This window comes from Homo sapiens, chromosome 9 (assembly GCF_000001405.40).
Source record: "Homo sapiens chromosome 9, GRCh38.p14 Primary Assembly".
Lineage (NCBI taxonomy): Eukaryota > Metazoa > Chordata > Mammalia > Primates > Hominidae > Homo > Homo sapiens.
In genome coordinates, this window is record NC_000009.12 from 117,831,761 (window position 1) to 117,848,064 (window position 16,304).

At 38.6% G+C, this 16,304-nt stretch overlaps 1 long non-coding RNA gene across 3 annotated transcripts in view; it reads left to right on the plus strand.

Annotated features, from left to right (window-relative positions):
* Positions 1 to 16,304, plus strand: part of LOC105376244 (uncharacterized) — a 111,773-nt gene that overhangs the window by 72,304 nt on the left and 23,165 nt on the right. The gene's annotated exons all lie outside the window — the stretch shown is intronic.

Here is a 16,304-nt window from a genome sequence, read left to right on the forward strand (position 1 = left end):
TTAGAGATCTCTTTGACTCCAGTTTTGTTTACTATCATCCCACTTGTGGCTACAATAAGAGCAAAACTGATCCTGTGAGTGCCGTCTCAGGCCCTCTTGTGGGTTCCCATTGCTTCCAAGAAAAATCCAAGCCCCCATTTATCCTTCAAAAGATAAACTTTTAAATATCAAGCAGGAGTGATATAACTATATTATTAGAAAAAAATGTATGGAGTTAGCTGATAATGGCTTGTGGTGTTATTCCTCAAAGGGGATTTTATGGTACAGTGGGATGTACACAGTCTCTGGAGTTGGAGGGACTTAGATTAATATCCATTATTCAACATTTATTACCTTCCCCATTGCTAGAAAATTGTTTCCGTTTTCTATGCCTCAATTTTTATTGTCAGAACTAACAGGGTTGCTATGGCAGCACATAGTAGGTTATCAAAGGACAAATTTCCCTTTTCTCTAACTTCGTCCCCTGGGTATTTCTTGTAGTGGCAACCCTCAAGACTTACAAGATTGAATCTAAATATGAATAATTGGGCAATGTAAAGAAAAGATTTTGGAGTATTTATAGTCATATGTTGGAGGTGGGATTTGGAGGAGCAAATAAGCTAAAATTAGATTATTTATCAAAATCCCCCACATGTAGTATTGTGGGCTCTTTCAAACAGGGATGGGATCTGTTCTCTTGGTTTAATTCAGGCGTCATTGTGCCTGGTTTAAAAGTGGACTGCACCATCTAACTATAATCTTTCTCTTCGTAATTGTGTCACTGTGCTCACATGAAGCCACTGTCCCATCAAATGAGAGGACAAATAAACGTCCAGTAAGAAAAAAACAAGATAATCTAATACATTTCAATCTTAAAAAGACTACCACCAGACACTCTGTAAGATGACATAACAATCAAACAGCACTGAATATCTGGATTGATCACATCTCAAGACAATTATAATCTACTCCCAAGCTCAGGCTCCAGTACAACTAAAAGGTGGAGTAAGAACACAAACCAAAATAATTCTCTGTCCCTGTGTTTGACAACACTGGAAACAGGCATACTTCCCTCTCTCTGAGCTAAACAACTCTAGGATGATGTATTTTACCTCTTTCTTTGCTAAGCAATGCTGAGAATAAACAAAAATAACTTAGCTGCTTGCTCTAGGAAATACCTGCTCCTGGAAGATAAGACTGGGAACTAACTAAACAGCTTACTTATCATGAATAACACCTGACTCATCCAGAATTACTTCAAGACCCTCCGCACTGTGACCATCAATCCAAAGCTATCATGGCATAATCTCTGCCCAATCCCAAATAGTTTCTATCTTGTAAGACTCTCCTTAAATTCAGTCACCCCTGACCCCAAAACCATATATATTTCTATTTTGAGACACTACTAAGGCTGTCTCCTTTCCTGCAGTAAATCTAATAAACTGAGCTTTTCTTGATCAATAGACTTTTCTGGTGATCTTTGAGGAATCAACAGTTGACTCTGTAAAGTACTTTATTACAAGACTAATTGTATTTAACTTTCTTAAAAATCTGTTTTTCTGTTTTTATCTTTTATGTATTCCCCCAAGAAATATTTATTGAGTGTCAAGAACTATGCTAGACATGGAGAACCAACTATTTTTGCCTTCATGGCATATACATTCCAGTAAGGAAAAATATATTAGTTTTAAAGATGACAAGAATAATTATACCATTACAGTTGTGATAAGTGTGTTAAAGCAAAAATCCTAAAATTCTAAGAAAACATGTCAAGGGAGAACCACATTTGGCTTTGAGTGCATGTGTGTGTTGGAGAGCAGGGACAGTATCCCCGGACAGGCAGCATTTAAGGTAAGACAAGAAGTCCAAGTGGAGGGGTGCCACTGATAGAAGTGATAGTATGTCCAATGCTTAGTGTCAGAAGGAGCTTGGCTTGCTGCTAGGACAGAGAGAAGGCCAATCCAGAATAACCAGCCATTGGGAGGGAGTTTGACTGGAGGTAGGCAGGGCTGGGATTGATCAGGCTTTGTCAGACATGATAAGTATTTATTCCTGGAGGTTAGTTGCATTGGGCTGTTTTTTTCTTCTGATACTACGATGACTTAGACTCTAATATGTTTGTATTAATAGCATCTCACATTTGATGTCCAAAGATGATGTCCATATTAGTGTCTACTTTTAGCCATATGCTCCTTCTTTCTAGTTTTACCTTCTTTTATTTTACAAAATTTCTTCAACTCCCTGTGTTTGTCCTGTTCCCCTTCCTATGCTTTTTTTAGGACAGGGTCCTCACAGCCAATATTCTACCTTATTTAGCCTCTTTAGGACTGAAGGAGTTCTTGCTTCCCTAGGTTAAGTCCCTTGAAGAAAGCCTTTAAAAAGGTGTAGTCGATGAACTCTTTCTACAGCCTAAGTAGTGTAATGCATTATTGACTCTTTCCAGATATAAGGTCCCCTCCGCTGCCAGCATTAATGAAGAAACTTTCCCTAGTTCACAAGTGTTAACAGGCCTCCAGTCTTACTCAACTTCTTCCTGGAGTGGTTTACTCCCTCAGGAAACGTGATTGTCTCAACTGTATCTCAAGTTGGGAGGTGATTTCTGTTCCAGAAACTCAAAAAGAGTGGAAGTTTATTTGTAAAATGATTATGGCAGTTTGGACTTTGTTAAGTGCTCATGTCATTGGACAATGAGATTTGTGTTTGTCACACCACATCTTGATGTTTTCTATTATAATGTTAAATGCAGAATGTTAAAACTTAATTTGGGACCAGGCGCAGTGGCTCACGCCTGTAATCCCAGCATATTGGAAGGCTGAGGCGGGTGGATCACGAGGTCAGGAGATCGAGACCATCCTGTCTAACACAGTGAAACCCCGTCTCTACTAAAATACAAATAATTAGCTGGGCGTGGTGGCGGGCGGCCTGTAGTTCCAGCTACTTGGGAGGCTGAGGCAGGAGAATTGCATGAACCAGGGAGGCAGAGGCTGCAGTGAGCCCAGATCGCGCCACTGAACTCCAGTCTGGATGACAGAGCTAGACTCCAGCTCAAAAAAAAAAAAAAAAAACACCTTTATTTTGAAAGACTAAACCATTATGTGTATCCAATTCTTATTCAGAAGTCCAATATATAAAATAGACAAAAGCAAAGTAGCTCAACTGAGAGCAGGGGAAGGTCTGAGAGCTGGCACATTGGATACCCTCTTTAGCACTGCTAAGTCCCCAGAATCCACTGAAGGACCTTAGGTTGAAACAACACTACTTGACTCCGAGTTAGGGCAACATGGTTGACAACAGAAACTCAAGACCCTTTGTCTTAGTCTGTTCAAGCTGCCATAACAAAATACCATAGACTGGTGTCTTGTAAACAATAGATATTTATTTCTGATAGTTCTAGAGACTAGAAGTCCAAGATCAAGGTGCCAACCTATTTGATGTCTGGTGAGGGCCTATGCTTTGGTTCATCGATGGTGTCTTCTTGCTGTGTCTTCACATGGTAGAAGGAATGAGGGAACTCTCTCTGGTCTTTTTTATAAGGGCACTAATTTCATTCATGAGGGCTCCACCTTCAAAATGCAATCATCTCCCAAAGGCCCCTCCTCCAAATATCATCACTTTGGGGATTAGGATTTTGTGATGGTTAATACTGAGTGTTACTTGATTGGATTGAAGGATACAAAGTATTGATAGTGGGTGTGTCTATGAGGGTGTTGCTAAAGGAGATTAACATTTCAGTCAGTGGGCTGGGAAAGGCAGACCCACCCTTAATCTGGGTGGGTACAATCTAATCAGCTGCCAGATCGGCTTGAATATAAGCAGGCAGAAAAAAGTGAAAAGAGAGACTGGCCTAGCCTCCCAGCCTACATCTTTCTCCCATGCTGTAAGCTTCCTGCCCTCGAACATCGGACTCCAGGTTCTTCAGTTTTGGAACTCAGACTGGCTCTCCTTGCTCCTCAGCCTGCCGACAACATATTGTGGGACCTGGTGATCCATCGTGTGAGTTAACACTGAATAAATTCCCCTTTATATACATATTTATTCTATTAGTTCTGTCCCTCTAGAGAACCCTGACTAATACAGGATTTCAACATATAAATTTTAGGAGAATGCAAACATTTAGACCATAACACCCTCCTGCAATAAACACTTAGACATTGTCAACAAAATGGTGCAAACTTTTACAGGCATAGCCCCGCTAGTCATAACAAAAGAGAAATCTGCTAGTGCTATGAGTCAAAATAGAACTATAAATGAGAGTAGAAATGCATGAGCTAATACTGCTGCTGGGGTAAGGGTGGCCCTTAAACTAGGGACTAGGGTGTTTAACACATATTCAGAAACAGAAGACATGACCTTGGGCTCACCAGAGGTCTACCTGAGAATTGTAAAATCCATTAAAGAGGCACTTTCTCATGGAAGGAAAGGAGTATATAAAACCACCTCTCACCATAAAATGAATTCAAGAAAACATGTCCAACTCTCTCTAGTCTCTGGTTGGAAAAAAAATCCTCCAAGAATCTGTGAAATTAAAATCATAATCCTGTTTCACTTTTGGGAGTCAGGTTTGAATTTAAATTTCCTTTATGGTTTGTGAAGCCACAAGCTTTTCTATTAACATACAAATGATCCCAGGTCTGTGGTCCCCTTTGGGCACCTGGAGAATTCCAACACAGTTACTCTCTGGAGAGATATACCCTCACCTCAGGCTGCACAGGAAGATGAGCTTACTACCCCAAAGCACAAAACATAAAAGAAAATGATCCACCATGAGTAAGAGGGAACAGATGTAAGAAACAGCTGATAAAAATCTGCTACCATTTCAATTAATGGAACCATATGATATAAACTACAAAATCAGTATATTTTTAGAAAAAAACAAAGACACAAAGATGCATTAAAACCATAAGAAATGACTAAAATACATTGAAATATATCAGGTAGATAAAAATGAAAATTAAAATAGTCATCTGATAAAAAATACTTACAGCATGGAAATAGCACTTTAGATACAACCAAGGAGGGAATGGGTTGAGTAGGGCATTGGGTCCCTTATTTGAAAACTATGGACCAAGCCCTATTCTGCTGTTTCTTTTTCTCCCCTGTACTTGCAACTAGGCTGGGCCAAGGAGAACTAGATTAGAACAAGCACTACTTCCTGAGTACATCCCTATACGGCTGCTCTAAATCATTCATTTAGCAGAACGACCTTCAAATTCTTTGATGTTAGAAATCTTCTGTAACTTTTCTGCAGAAACAAATGATCACCTGTTAATTGACTCTGGGATGGTAAAATCTGTCAAATATCACAAAAGATCTGATCTTCTAGTCTAACATTTCAGACTTTGGAACATAACATCTTGTTTATGGCCTGGTATGTAACTTCTTTTAGGGACAGAGAATGCATTAATATATGGATGGAGAAATGCAATTGAGAGCAAAATTCCCATTTTAGGGTAGAAATCTAACTCACACAAAAACTGCTAAATCTATCAACCTACACGTTTTCCTGAAAGCTAACAGCTTCCTAAACCGACAGAATAGCAAATACTCCAAATACTCTGCATTATTTCATTTAAACTTAACAGAAATCTTAAGATTTGGATATCATTTTATTTTTGAAAGTTACAGATAAGAAAAATGAGGCCTGTAGAAGCATTTTATCCACACATAAGCAGATCTCAGGTTTTGTCTTGTTTTGTTTTGTTTTGTTTTTTGAGATAGCATCTTGATCTGTCGCTCAGGCTGGAGTGCAGTGGCTTGATCCTGGCTCACTGCAACCTCCACCTCCTGAGTTCAAGCAATTCTCCTGCCTCAGCTTCCTGAGTAGCTAGGATTACAGATGCCCACAACCAGGCCCAGCTAATTTTTGTATTTTTAGTAGAGACGGGATTTCACCATGTTGTCCAGGCTCGTCTCAAACTCCTGACCTCGTGATCCGCCCACCTCGGCCTCCCAAAGTTCCCAGTTTTTTTTTTTTTTTTTTTTTTTTTTGAGACGGAGTCTTGCTCTGTCACCCAGGCTGGAGTGCAGTGGCGGGATCTCTGCTCACTGCAGGCTCCGTCCCCCAGGTTTACCCCATTCTCCTGCCTCAGCCTCCCGATTAGCTGGGACTACAGGCACCCGCCACCTCGCCTGGCTAATTTTTTTGTATTTTTAGTAGAGACGGGGTTTCACCGTGTTAGCCAGGATGGTCTCGATCTCCTGACCTTGTGATCTGCCCGCCTCGGCCTCCCAAAGTGCTGGGATTACAAGCGTGAGCCACCGCGCCCGGCCTGATCCCAGTTTTTAGCACCAAAGCTCATGGACTCTATCTCTGTACTCCACCATATTCCTTTCCTTGAATTCTGAATCATAATTAACCAAGTTTAACATTGAAATTCTGAGCACCCATGCTGGAGTTATAAGACCACCTGCCAAATGCATTTGAATGTTTCGTTTCTTCGTTTTGTTTTATTTTTTTTCCCCCTAATCTAGCAATAAAGAAACTAACAGCAAAATTCAAACCTACTACCCCCTGCTAGGGTCAGCTGTTCTGTGAAAACATGGCTGCTGAAAACTCTCACTTCAAATTTCACCCTAGGTTCAACGTATGGCCAAAATGTGAGTCTCTCCTCAGGCTCCTCTGGGGCCTCTTCAGCTACACAGAGCAGTGGTTATGTGTGAGGACATTAAGAGTTCATCACTGAGAAAGAGACAGTGGGACAAGAAGGACACAGAGGTTATAGAAAGCAACTCCTGTGTTGTGGTAGGTGTAAAAGTAAACGGCAGAGGGCCGGTCATGGTGGCTCACACCTCTAATCCCAGCACTTTGGGAGGTCAAGGCAGGTGAATCACTGGAGGTCAAGAGTTTAAACCCTGTCTGGCCAACATGGCAAAACCCCGACTCTACTAAAAATACAAAAATTAGCTGGGTGTGGTGATGGACACCTGTAGGCCCAGCTACTTGGGAAGCTGAGGCAGGAGAATCACTTGAACCTGGGAGGCAGAAGTTGCAATGAGCCAAGATCATATCACTGCACTCCAGCCTGGGTGACAGATTGAGACTCCATCTCAAAAAAAAAAAAAAAAAATGGCAGAAAGGAAACAGGAAATATCCTGTCAGATGGACCTTGGTGGAAAGGACACAGGTGCAGAAAGGGCTCCACTGAAGGGGCAATAATAAAAACTAACTTTAAGAAGTACTTAAAAATCTGTCTCTCTACAGCAAAGCTTTTTCCAGGTCTCTATTCTCATTCTAACATTTTTCTAGGACCAATGGAAGGAAGAACAAAATTATCCATATATTAATATTTACAACTCTCTAGGCTTCCAGGTGTTTTTGTTGTTTTTGGGTTTTTATTATTATTATCAATTTAACCTCGAGAATCACTACATATTCTTTTAGCTACTATTTCTGATCCCTTTGCACATGGCTGGTACAGAGCTGTGTTCTTTAGATGTGTTACTGCCTGTAAATACAAAAATTCCACAAGATCATGATTATTGTCTCTCTTTTATAGACAAGGGAAGTGAAGCCAAAAGAGATTTCACTTGTTAAGTAGAAGAACCAGGATTTGAAATCAGGTTCTTCATTTTCTATGGCTTTGCTCTTACCGGCCATGATATACCACCTGCCCTTAGCAACAGGTGTCAAGGAACCAGAACAAAGAGGGTACTATGGGAAATTCTTTTGAGAAATCCTGGGTTAATATAATTAAACTACCTGACATGATAATATGCATAGGAAATCTCCCACAGGAGTAGAGAATATGGTGTATTTCCCATATTTGTTTGATCATGGGGTCTTTTTTATAGCATATCTTGTAAGATAACTGTTCTATAAAGCACACATTGGGAAATGCTTTCGTAGGCTGATGTCTCACTGGAGCAAATCCTACTTAATTATTATAACCAATATGTAGGGTCCCAGAGTGGACAGAATCAGGTAATCAGCCCCCTTATAGAGTACTGCTTTGGCTAAGCTTCTTTCTGTATGCATATGCTCTGAGTTTTGGTGAACGTCTGGAAGAAACCTGTCTTCGTATAATTCCATTTTGTGTGGGGAAGGTTAATGGTGCCCAGAGTTTTTTCTCCTAGAAATTTTGTGATTCTCTTTTTCACTTTTTTTTCCCTAAAACACCATAGAGACTTCTTTTTCCTGCCAGTGGCTTTTAACAGAGGCACTTAATTGGTATTTTTGAGGCCTTTCCTTGAACTCAACTTTCAAAACAAAACTGTGTTAAAGTTACCAAAAATTAAAGTGAAACAACACTTGACTTTATACCTTTTGACAAAATGAGAAAGAAACACTGCCAAGTTTCTCACAAGTGGCCAGTCATTTCTAAAGCAGTTTCCCCCACCTGGACCAAGCATACTACTGATATTCACAACTTGCTTCTCTACACGTTCCCCTCAACTTGCTGGCAATAATCGCAGTGTAGATAACTGATAATTAAATAAAATGGGATAAATATTGAACATGGAAAAATGGAGAAATGTTCTCTAACAGATGAAGGAAGGAAGAGACTTGAGATATTAAAAGGGAAGTGAGGGTGGGGTGTTCTGTCTTTGTATAATATCAGAACTAGGAAACAGCCTGTGAGATGTTTCTGCTCTTTAGTGGTCATTTTAATACCATGTTTATGAACAATAGGAAAGAAAGAAGAATTCTAGTTGTTCTTCTCTTTGAGTCTTCAGAGTTCTTACATATAATACCGTCATTCTTGGACCCTGGAATCATAAAATGTATGAGTAAAAGTGACCCTGGAAGTCATCCAATCCAATGACTTAAAACACCGTGTTCCATGCAGTCAGAGGACAGATGCAAAGGAACCTCTGGGGTTAAGGGCTCCGGGTCCCATCTTTCACTTCAGGGAGAGCAGCTCCATGTTCTTCCTGGGGGAAAAATAAAAAAAAATTGTATTAAGCTGGGTCTTCTAGTCAACATGGCATTTGGAGTTCATGCTATTGCCTCTGTGATCTGCATCTAAGACCTGAAATGTCAAAAATACGGTTTTAATTGAGTAAGCACAGCAACACGTTCAGAATAGAGAATAGGAAGAATCTAAGAGAGGCCAAGAGGAGGTGGCATTTGATTAAAGGAAGGAGAAGCTCCAGAGACTTGAAACTATGGATAACAGCAGTGAAGGGCCTAGAGGCAACACCATGGGCATTTCCTACCACTGGATGGGAATGACAAGCACACAAGGGGCAGAAGGGTATTGATGGGGCTGAGAGGTGGCCAGGGTCTGTGAGCCATCCCCACTTCAAGCTTTTAGTAACAAGGAGTTATAAATAGAGGGACCATTTCCAGGTAGGAGACAAGGCAGAACCCGAGTGACCAGAAATCTTGAGAGATCAGTGGGAAAAATCCTTCTCTTCCTGCTACATTCCACCCATTCCTTAATCCTACTGAAAACAGTGAGGGAAAGACTTCAGTAGAAGCTTCTACCCTTTAAAAAGTTAGCTCACGGTCTTGAAGTTAAGGTCAACTATAAACATAAGCTATGGACAAGAATTACAAGATATGTGAGAACTAGCACAATGAAAGGGAGAGAACGAAGAGGGAAAATGCGGACAGAAAATGCAGACAAGAAATTTAGAATAAGCATAATTAACATTATCAACAAAATAGGTAAGTAGAGCTTCTACGAAACAAAATTAAGAGGTTGTGTAAAAGAAGAAGCAGGAGGTCTTAGTAATGAAATTGACATGGTTATATAATGAAAAGAATAACAGGAACCAGAGAAGAGATAGACTGAATAGCAGAATGGACAGAGTCAAGGAGAAACTGGTGATCTGGAAGAGTAAAAATCTCTCAGAATGAATTTCTGTAACATGAGATGCACCCCCAGATCCCCTTCAAGGAAAAAACTCACTGTCCAGCTGCTGGACTGTGCTTAGCTGCCAGTCTTCAGCTAGTAGCATCGTAAGCATCCACCCCAGCTTTTGAGTCAAGATCATGCTACTCTCAGGGCAGCCTCTAGCCAGTGACTGAGCAAGACAGTGGGAAGCTGGGGATTCTCTCATGGGTGACCTTGACAGATCCCTGACAGGCTATCAGGGACTGCCAGGTAAAAATAGTATGCTGACAGCTCCCTCACCCACCCAATCCTGCCGCTCCCTTTTAATTTCAAAGGTGTTATTCACCATTCAAACTTTTCAACTTTGCCACAGCATCCTATTCTTGGAAATCCAAAGCTACCACAGCATCTGAAAGGTATAGGAAGATTGAAAGCACAAACAAGAACCCAAGAAACATGGGGCAAACAAGGACTCACAGGTATTGGGGGAATAATGTCCCAAGTCCACAACTTAATCCCTGGAACGTGTGACTATGTCACAAAATAAATGTAAAATAAGAATGCTATATGCAACTAAATTATAACTTGAATATGAGATAAATAATGATACTTATGGGCAGACAAGAACTTAAAAAATCAGTAGCAAAAATATTTCTAATGCAAGATTAAAGAATATACCAGAGGTTAAGTATTCCTTATCCAAAATACTTGGAAAAATAAGTGTTTCAGATTGTGTATTTTTTTAGATTTTGGAATATTTGCACATACTTACCAGTTGAGCATCCCCAATTTGAAAATAAAAAATATCAAAATGTTCTGATGGCATTTCTTTGAGTGTCATGTAAGCACTGAAAAAGTTTCTGTTCTGAAACATTTTGTATTTTGGCTCTTTCGGTTAAAGATACTCCACATGTATAAGAATAATGAATACAAAAGGAAGTAATGATAGGCAATAAGTAATTGCGAGTAAAGAAAATACCACATTGGTGTCTAGATTAGACATACATATGTACTTTTTTCTCTATAACAATCTGGAATTCAAATTCCAATGCTTCCAATCAGGTGATGGGAGTCAGAGAAGAAAGCATAACTGATTTCTCTGTCTTTAATAGATAACTGGTTAACCTTAGTTGTTGCTAGAAAAAAATAAATTAATAGAATGTTTGATAACAATTGTGGGAAACTCCTTAAATAATAGAAACCAAATAAGTAACTTTCAGACTAGAATAGGAAAAAATGGAAACCAAAACTTTATCAATTTAAGAGAAACAGGAAAGTGATAATTAAAAAAAGAAGGTAGGTAAACAAAAAAATTAATAACAAAGACAGTCAGTAATATGTTACTTACAAGAACTATTTATTTCAAAATAAGGAAGAAAAACATATATTTGAACATATAAACCAAAAGAAAGCTTGAATAGCAATATTTATATCAAATAAACTGAAATTTAGGGCAAAAAGTTTTATTATAATGGAGAAAAGAAAATATTTCATGGTAATAATCCTAGCAATATACAAAGAAAATGAATCATTTATGATTTTGTCTCCTCTAATTATATAAAGTCCAAATGTTTCAGCAAATTCCAAATAACTATGCATTATACTGATTATATTATCTTATCAAATAATTAAATTGGAAATGAAATAAGAAGCTCAGTAAAATTTCAATATTGTAGACTAAAAATTGTTATTAAAAATATTTTTATTGTTTTAAAATTTTGAAAACCCATTAGCTGATTCTATTTTACAAGTTGGGGTAAAGGAGAACTTACAGACACAAAAATCAGGTGATCAAGCCCAAACAATGCAGGAAAACTAAGGCACTGGAAATCCTTGTCAACAGAATCCAACTGGAGAAAAAATATATTTTTAATATAAATTGTATAAATATAAACCATAAATGAAATTAAATAAGTAAATTAAGCCCAAACTGAGAAGATTCAGCCTCTGCTACCAATGCTGTGTTTTTAGTATGGTATAAGGCCCTTTGATTTTAAAGTGAGTGTCAAAAAGGCTGGGAGAAGTTTAAACCCTGGGGTGGAGAGTGGTGAAACCAGAATTCCGATAATGCTGGATAATAGGGAATAACTATGACACTGGAGTATATATTTAAGTTTGAGGATCATTTTAACTGCAATGTACCAAAATAAGACTTTTTTTTTCTTGTCAGGCTTCTTGGTAAATTTTTATTCTTAATTTTTTTTCCTTCATGAGCACCATTTTTTTCCATATGAGACTCAAAGTTAGAAAGCAGTGGGGTTAACGTGATCATTAGTGCCATATGTTCTAAGGGGAAAAATAAATAAAGGATACCCAAAGTAACTGTCCATCAATGGGGAGTCACTGCTATCTGGGAGAGACGGCAACACCAGAAAGGAGAAAGGGGCACAAGCACACCTGCAGAGTTAAAGGAAGTAAGTGGAGAGGGTGCAGAGGCAAAATGCTACGTTTCCTGTGGAAAATGTCAGTCCCATCTGCTTTTGAAGGATGATGGAGAAGACATAATTGGTAGAATGGTTTACATTGGAAGCCTCTGAAGATGGAAGGTTGTAGACTGGCCTGGGGAGAGGGTAAGGGGCATAAGAGAGAACCATGTGTGGAAATTAACAGCAATGTTGCCATGATGATTGCTGATTGATGACAAGAGAACCTGATTGTAGAATCAAGAGGGCAAAGTAACTGTGAATACCCAATACGTATAGAATCATTGTCACTACCATGATCAACTCTGATACTGATATCTTTGAGGACAATTGAGGAGCATGGTAACCCGTAAGTTGCTCCTGATGTCCTACAGAAGAATAATTGAGAGGGAACATCGCACATGTGCATGCGTGTGTATGTGCACACACACACACACAGTTTGCTAAGGCTGTATTTTGAATTTCTGTAAGTGAATACATGAAAAACACTCTCCAACACCCATGCCTTCCTGCTGTCTTGGGAAAAAAATAGAAGAGACATATGGTTTAGGGTTGCATATATATTTCATTTGTAAAAGAGAAGCCCAATAACCTGGGTACATGAAGCAAAGATAAGCTGAAGGCAGGCAGGTGGAAAAAAGACTGTGTGACGCTCTGGGAAAAGTGTGTTTTAATGAGATAATATTGAATTGAACTTATGAAGTCTAATGGGCTAGTCTTGTTGCTTCCACTAGCTATGGCAAGTCAATTATTCCTTCTTAACTCAGTGTCCTTGAAATATAAGAGACTGGACTGATCTCTGAGGTCCCTCAAAGTTCTTTCTGCTTCCAGTACAACTGCTTAATGAATTGTATATCTTTGGACCCATTTGAACTCATTACCCAACCATTCTGAACCTCAGGTTTTATGGTTACACACACAGAGAAGTACACATTGCACACACACACACACATACACACTTTATTTTGGTTCTATCTGAAATCAATATCTTAGGAAGATGTCATATACATTAATCACTTAAAGAGGGCATTATATGACAGGCATTGTGTTAAGAACTTTACCTATATATTTGTGCATTTTGCTGTTGTTATTCTGACAACCCTGGGAGACCTTTAAGGATTGATACTGCTATCTTCCTTTTTAAGGGTGGAAAACTAAAGCTCAATGCCATCTGCTGTGTGGGGCAGATCCAGAATTCAAAACTGGCCCTGGCTGGCTCCAAAATCCATCCTATAAATCACCTGCTTTGTTAGTCTGTTAGGTCACAAAATGTGATGAAATGTAATTCCTTTTGTTGAGATATATTTCAGCCCTAACTAAAGACAATTCAGACTCAGGTATTTCCCTTACTCAATTGTACAACCCACTGTGGTTGTGTCTCAGTGAAGATGAATGGAAAAAGACATATGGAAGCCCTTATGGAAACATTTATCTGACAATCCAGTTTGACGTATGTTTTACATACACATGTAATAAATGTATCCCTTCCTTTTAAACCAGAATATCTATTGAGAATGTCATTAGTGCAATCATTGGGCTAAATTATAATTGTACCAAATGGGCTCAAATTTATATGGATACACACATTCAGCAATTTCATGGAAAATTGCTTCCAAAATTACATCTCTAGAAGGGACCTCCATTAATAATGCTCCTTGAGGCCACATAAATTCCTTTAGGATCTTTTGCTTTATGCAATTAGATGCACTGGAAAGCATCCGACTTCTTAAAGGTAGACTTAGTTAATGAAAACATAGTGGGATTTTAAAAATAATGACTGTAAGATTGCCATGGACACAGTAGATGCTCCCACAACCAAAGAAAGATGGGTCTCCAGTGAGAATTTGACCCACATCTACACAATTATGATAAGGATAATGATAATAAACATTTAAAGAGTGCTGTGCTGTTTACCAAATGTATCTAATTCCATAAACTCTTGTAATCTTCAGAGCAACTGAGAGGTGAATGGGAACAGATCTTTATCCCTTCCTTTGTATCAGTGATGAAACCAAGTCTCAGAGAATTATTGATCTGATCAAAGAAATGGCTACTGCATAGTATAGTTGGGAATTAAACTTTCTTAATTCTAGAGGAAAAGAAATGTAATTTTTTGATATTTATTGTGGACCAGGAACTGGCTTAGAATTGTCCATATCATTTCATTATATCACTGATGGGCTTTTGCTATGAGATGAGAGAGAGAGAGTAGGTGAGAACAAGAGAGAGAAAAAGAGCTATTCAAGGTCACCCATTTATTTTCTAACAAATGTTTATTGAGTTGTCATGAGGTATTCTTGGTTCACTAAAAACAATGATGGACAAGATGAACAAGTGTTAGTAAATTTATGGGTCAGAAATTAAACCTAGGTTCACATGAACATAAAATCCTTTTGTCCCCCTCACTCACCCACAGAGATTTCTACTATCTCCCTTCATCTTTTTAACTAAAAGTACAAATCATCCTGTGAAAGACCACAAATAGATATTTGCATTTCTGCAGCCAGACTAGAAGACCAAAATCCATCAAAATCCAGAATGATGGCAAATAGTGGTGGAATTTGAAGCCGACTTGCAGGAATCAGGGAATAAAATTTGAGTTGAGTACCTTGTCTGCTGTTTCAAGCTGATGACCTTCTCCTTTTCAAGAAACCAGACTTCTGCCTTCTTTCTTCCTCTGGTATTAGGTACAAATCCATAATGACTGATTCTTTCTCAGTTCAAGTGATCAATAAATGCAACAAGGATGGAGGAGGAACATGGCTTTCTAGAAAGAACTAGGTAGAAATCAGTTGTGGTTGGACTTTTTGAAAGTCTCCTTGAACTTCCCTCATGACAATGTGTCTTTTCCGGTCAGAGCTCTAAGAATCTTAAGGTATCATTAGTAACAGAATTCAAGAAACTTCAGGGTAAAAAAAGTGTCTTGTGTATTTCTGCCTCATTGACTCTCCATCTCGTTTCCATTCTCATCTGAAAAACATATCTTTTTCTCTCCTGACCGCATCTGCTAATTGCCCTCTCCCACGGCTATTATTTAACTGTAATATACATGAGATCACTTTAACAAGGGTATTTAACTTCATGGGGTTGTAGAGATGTTGTTTTTAATAGTCTTAGGTTGAAAATGTAAGTGACTGAGTTTCTTAACTGAGAAGGGGCCTTATGAAAGTCCTGTCAATATTTTAGCTAGGAAAGAATTTCCTAGGCTTTTAAACCCATACCCCCAACAGTCCCCTCACCCCAGATTGGTTTAGCTTTAGATTTGTAGTTTATATTATAAAAATAAAAAAAGTATTATTTTAATTTCCAAATATGCATTTGTATTATTTGTGATGCCTTTCCAAATCACATGACATTTTCCTGTCCTGGCATCACCCCAAAGACTCTGTCATGACACGTTCTCCACCCAGTTTCAAATATTAGCTTTATCACTTTGAATCTATGTGAACCTTATAATGCTACTCAAATATTTGAAGTCTTAGCTTTCTCATCTTCAACATGGGAATGATATGCTCATCTCAAGTGTTCTCCCAGAATTAAATGGTATTCTTTCTATGAAACTCCTGGTATAATGGAAGAGTTTAATCCATGTTAGCTATTAGTGAGTGAAGGAGAATGTGTAACTCTTGACTAACTTAAAATCAGAGAAGTTCTTATTACACTAGAATGCTGGCTCCATGAACAATAAGACATTGCTTGATGCTCTACCCCAGCACCTAGAATTGTGCCTGGCCCACAATAGCTATCCAATTATCTGTGAGTGGATAAATATCATTTACCATTACACAGTTACTTTACAATTTGCAGAGCACTTGCAAACCTATGATCTCATTTGGTTCCCTCAACATTGTTGCACACAAATATGTCAGAAACACCTGACTGGACCAGCAAAAAAAAAAATATGATTCACCATTAATCCTGTTTCTTTGGAATTTTTCCTGGAGACCCATGGTAGAGTCCAGATCACCTTTGATGCTTCCCTTCTTTTCAACATACAGAACCAGTACCCAATCCTCAAAGTTGTGCCTCCTAGCTTTTTTGAAACTATTCCTCCTGCCATAAGTCAAGTGGTCGGTATTCTTTACCTGAACTGATATAGCAAACTTGTCTGACTGTCTTTCAG